Genomic DNA, 4,831 nt, shown 5'->3' with positions numbered 1-4,831 from the left:
AGTAGAGGACATATTAGGCAAGCTTCCTGGAAATGGAGGAGGCTGACTGATATTGATCCAGAATCCAAACCTCAGGACCGACAATCAGAAGGACTTCTAGAAGCACAGAGGCAGGGTGTCTTTCACAGAGTTGGACATTGTTTCCAAGCTCTTGACACCAGGGATGAACACTTGTGTGTTTGTATGTGTGTGTGTTTGGGTGTGTGTGTGTTTGCATGTGTGTGTCTGTAATTTATGACTCCATTTGTATAGGCAATGGCAAGAACAGAAACTCTTTGAGGTCCATTTGCAGAAGTGAGCTTAAAGGTTTATTTGTACTAGAGCAGTCTGCATTTTTAAAGTATAAGCTACATGGAGTCATTTTGCTATGTTTGCTGAAGGAGGGGCATGGTAAAATTCTTTGGGAGAATAGATGGGGAGAGAGTGAGGGTATCAGGAAGAAGGAGGGTGACAGCTGAGTAGGATAATGTCTGTCTTCCTTAATAACCAGGGTTATTAAGTCACCATCGCTCCACTTTGGTCCTCCCTTCCACATCTGGCCTTATGATGGAGGGTTGGGACTGCCAATCTCATTTCTCTTTGCTGGAGGTTTCCTGAAGTCTCCGCCAGTAGGCGGAGCTAGAGAGAACTTGGGAGACTGGCAGAGTGACAAGGACCAGGCTTCCTTAGATTCCCTTAGAATTCTCCAAGTCACCCCAATATTACTTCTCACCCCAGCAGGAGCAATTTATCCCTTTAGCAACAGTGGTTCCAGTGTGCAGTTTTTCCCGCTCACAAAACCAACCTTGTTGGGTTCTCATGGAGACAGACCCTAGGGCCAGCACCAGCTTGTGCCCCTCCTCAGAAGCCTGAGTCCAGACACACAGGGCCCCTCCTCTGAGCTCAGGGACCCCGGCACCCATGAGAAGGGCCCCTTTCCTAGAGGCCTGAGTTTCAATTCGTGGGCCACTGCTCCAAGTTTCTAAGTTTTGATAGTTTCAAGACACTCCCTTTACCTGCCATTGGTAGCATGGTGGCAATGACAGTTACCGCCTCCATGAACTCTTTTTGTCCTCTATTGGTCTTGTCAGTTCTCTGATGCCAAGTAAGCAAATTTTTATGTAAACTTCTGTCTATTAAAGTACATCTCATAATTCTCTTTCCTGACTTGACCCTGGCTGAGGCACTGAGGGGCGAGGGTCAGCTCTGGTGAGGACCAGGAGTTGAAGGAGTTAAGCAAGCCATGCTGCTTCAAGGCCCAGATAACCGGGTGATGGAGCTGAGATAAGACATGCTTATCCCTCTGTTCACATTTACAAGCAAGAGTAATGCAGTCTAGAAAAAGGTGATGAGCAGATTATTTGTTTTATTGTTTCATGCACAATGGAGATTGCCAAGGAAATCAGGGGAATGAGGCAAGGACTTCTATTTGGTATTCCCAGGCCAGGCGCACAGATGGAATCAGAGGTCAGAAGAGGAATTCTTGTGAGAGGGCAGATTTCTGGATTCTAGGTCGGAGGAATCTTCCAGGACAGAGTTTGAAATCTTTACTAAAATGTCCCAGCAACACAGTCAGTCCCAAGGAAGATGAAGTTGCCCCTTTCATGCCTCTAAATCTGCTCTTTTAGGCACAGGGTCCACTTCAGCAGCAGCCTCCAGAGTGCTGGCCACTGCCCCCTCCGCAGCAGCTGGAGCCCGCTGAGGGCTGGCTGCAGCAGTCAGAGCTCTGGGGTCTGTGGCGGTGGGACCTACGCCGTCTGTGGTGGCTCAGGCAACAGCCGCCTCCCCCAGAGCTGCAGCAGCCACCACCCCCAGAGCTGCAGCAGCCCCCAGAGCTGGAGCCACAGCAGCCTCCGGAGCTGACGCTGCAGCAGGAAGAGACAGGAGGGCACTTAGGGGGACACTTTGGGGGGCACTTCGGTGTGGGGCACTTGGGAGGGCACTTGGGAGTGCACTTGGGAGGGGGCTGGCACTGCTGCTGGCTCTGCTGGCAAGACATCTCGGTGGCGGGTGTTCAGGAGCTGAAGGAGGGTCAGACAGCAAGTTAGATGGAGGCAGAGGACACCCCTGCCTATTCTTGTCCTTTCTGCATTATTTCTAGATCCTTCATTTTGAAAGCCTTATATCAAACATAGGAAAATCACCTCTAATGTTTTTATCACTCTCAATGTTTACCAAGTGCTTTCATTCATGGATTCTCATTTCAAACCTTATTTGAGATGTTGTCATGCAATATATAATCTCCAAATATGTAAATAAAGTTTCTGCTCATTAAAAGCTCCTAAGTGTGGGAGAGAAGTCCAGGAAATAAATTGGCTCCGGGCCAGCATTCATTCTATCACATCACCAAGAATTCTGAAAATGTTCAATGTTGAGACCAGTTTAGAGATGAAAATCTCTTTAAGGAAAAATCAAAATAAATTTCTATTGGAAGAACTGATATATTTCAGTTTGCAGAAATAGAGAAAACTATAACCGCAAAGGATGTTGGAGTCAATTTGTTCCAACCAACTCAATATATAAATAAAGAAACTGAAGCCAAAAGAGGTAACTTCACTGGCCCAAAGTTATTCATTAACAGTCACATTTGTTCCGGGGTCCCCTGGTTCCCATCCTGGGCTCTGCCCTTTAGCACATCCTGCCTCCCCAGGCCTGTCCCCAGGCACTGTCACATGGCTTTTAAACTCCAGTGTGCACTCAGTTTTCCACTACAGATCTTCTTGTTGGCATCTAACAAGATCCACAGGTGTCTTTGATCCTTTCTTCCTCTAAGTAGCAGTGTTCTCAGCATATCTTTTCTAAAAGTGAGTATGTCTGTATTTCCAAAATTATATTCCCACTATGCAGCCCACTCTAGCAACATCCAGTGGCCAATGTGTTTATTCTCTAAAACCAGAGAAACACACTGAGCAACTGAAAACAATTTGGTTCCTCTAAATCTGTGTCATACAGCCCTTCAGATCTTACCAGTTCTTCTTAATCTCTCTCACTCCACCCCACCCCTCTACCTCCTCTTTCCAATTTTCTGCCCCCACCCCATTCCTTGCCAATCACAATTCCAGGCCCCTGAGGCCCTGCCTAGACTCTACTCCTGCCCTGGTCTGAGTATCCATCCCCTCCTTCCCTGGCCTGGGCATCCCTCTGTGGAAGCCCCTGCTCCTTTTTCCAGGGCACACTTACCAGGATCACAGGCAGCACAGGGTTCTTCAGCACCGCAGGAGGTGAGTGGATGGGATGCTCTGGCCCTGAGCCCTTTTATTCTGTCCTTGGGTGCTGCCTCCAGCGGTGAGACAGAGCCTGGGCATGAGAGGACCTGCCTCCCGACACCCACATAGGTCTTGTGACGAGTGGTGACTGGCAGTTCTGCATATACCGTCCTTCATTGGTGTTCAGGGGAGCTGCTGTCAGCTAGGAAAGAGCTTGGTGGAAATGGGGGCTTGTGGTGGGTGAAAATGGACATCATGGTTCCTGGAGTCCTCCGTGGCCTATTTCCTATGAAGATGGCTCTCTTCACAGTCTTGTAGTCACACTTATGAATTCTGCACAAACAACTCATTTTTCCTTCTATTCTAGATACTAATTTTCCATCTAGACCTTTGGGTCCATATAGCTTGGTTAAAAATCCACATGCCTGCATTATGGGGTTTGTCCATGTGCACATGGGCATGTGTGTGCATCATAGAAGTCGAGAAAAGAGGCCTTGGAGACCCTGGCAAAGTATTCAATATTTTTGGCCATTGGCTTTCTGATGTTTTAAATGAAGATAATAAGAGAAATATCTTTTCTGCAGGATTTACAAATTAATTAAGATAACAAAGGGGAAGTAGCTGAGATAGTATGTGGCATGTGGTTATAATTAGGAAATGGATGAATAGGTAGATAGATAGATAGATAGATAGATAGATAGATAGATAGAAAGAAAAATAGAGGCAAACCTGAGATTTTAATGGACATTGGGAATTTTTAAAGTCACAGGTGCCTTTTAAGTTAGGTGGCTCTTATTAAAACTAAAGGCCATTTTTTTTTCCTCCTACGTACCTCAGTGAATAGGGCTTTCTGAAGGTAGATCCAGAGTGGGTATAAGAAAAGAGGACTAAAGGATGTATATTGCCCCAAATTATAGCATAAAAGAATTTGCAGTTTCCTGAGGAAAAGCTGAAGGGATGAGGTAAAATAAAGATGAGAAGGGTGAAGAGAAGAGAACAGCCAATGAGGTGGCTTTGAACTGTGACTTGGAGTGGTGTAGTTGGTATAGACAAGAATAGACATAGTCAATATTTAATTTGAAATTATTGGCTTTGTTGCAATACACATTTCCTGGGTTTAATTTCCCAGTTTCCCATGCTCAAAACTAACCAAATGCAAAATCTAACAATAAAAAACCAATATTTGAAAAATAAATATGGTCAAAATTACATATAACATCAAAGAATTATTGGATGGTTTTAGCAGATTATAAGTTGCAGAAGAACAGATCGGTGAACTTGAAGAAATTGTTCAAACTGAACTGAAGAAAGGGAAAAATATTAAAAAAATGAACAGATGATCAGTGACCAGTGGAATAATATCAAACATTCTAGCACCCATGTATTTAGAGTTTCAGGAAGAGAACTACAAACCACTGCCCAAGGAAATAAAAGAGGATACAAACAAATGGAAGAACATTCCATGCTCATGGGTAGGAAGAATCAATATCGTGAAAATGGCCATACTGCCCAAGGTAATTTATAGATTCAACGCCATCCCCATCAAGCTACCAATGACTTTCTTCACAGAATTGGAGAAAACTACTTTAAAGTTCATATGGAACCAAAAAAGAGCCCTCATTGCCAAGTCAATCCTAAGCCAAAAG

The 4,831-nt window shown here is 44.9% G+C and overlaps 1 protein-coding gene across 1 annotated transcript; it reads right to left on the bottom strand.

The window, feature by feature from the left end:
• Positions 1–1,325: 1,325 nt before the first annotated feature.
• On the bottom strand, positions 1,326–3,210 carry LCE1F (late cornified envelope 1F). The gene is made up of 2 exons (NM_178354.3): positions 3,160–3,210; positions 1,326–2,000 (listed from the first exon to the last, which is right to left on the bottom strand). Exon 2 carries the CDS (start codon positions 1,976–1,978, stop codon positions 1,622–1,624), a length of 357 nt encoding a protein of 118 aa, NP_848131.1. The 5' UTR covers positions 1,979–2,000; positions 3,160–3,210; the 3' UTR covers positions 1,326–1,621.
• Positions 3,211–4,831: the final 1,621 nt, after the last annotated feature.

This window comes from Homo sapiens, chromosome 1, assembly GCF_000001405.40.
Source record: "Homo sapiens chromosome 1, GRCh38.p14 Primary Assembly".
Lineage (NCBI taxonomy): Eukaryota > Metazoa > Chordata > Mammalia > Primates > Hominidae > Homo > Homo sapiens.
The sequence above is the reverse complement of the archived record's forward strand: the minus strand, read 5'-3'. Positions and strand labels throughout refer to the sequence as shown.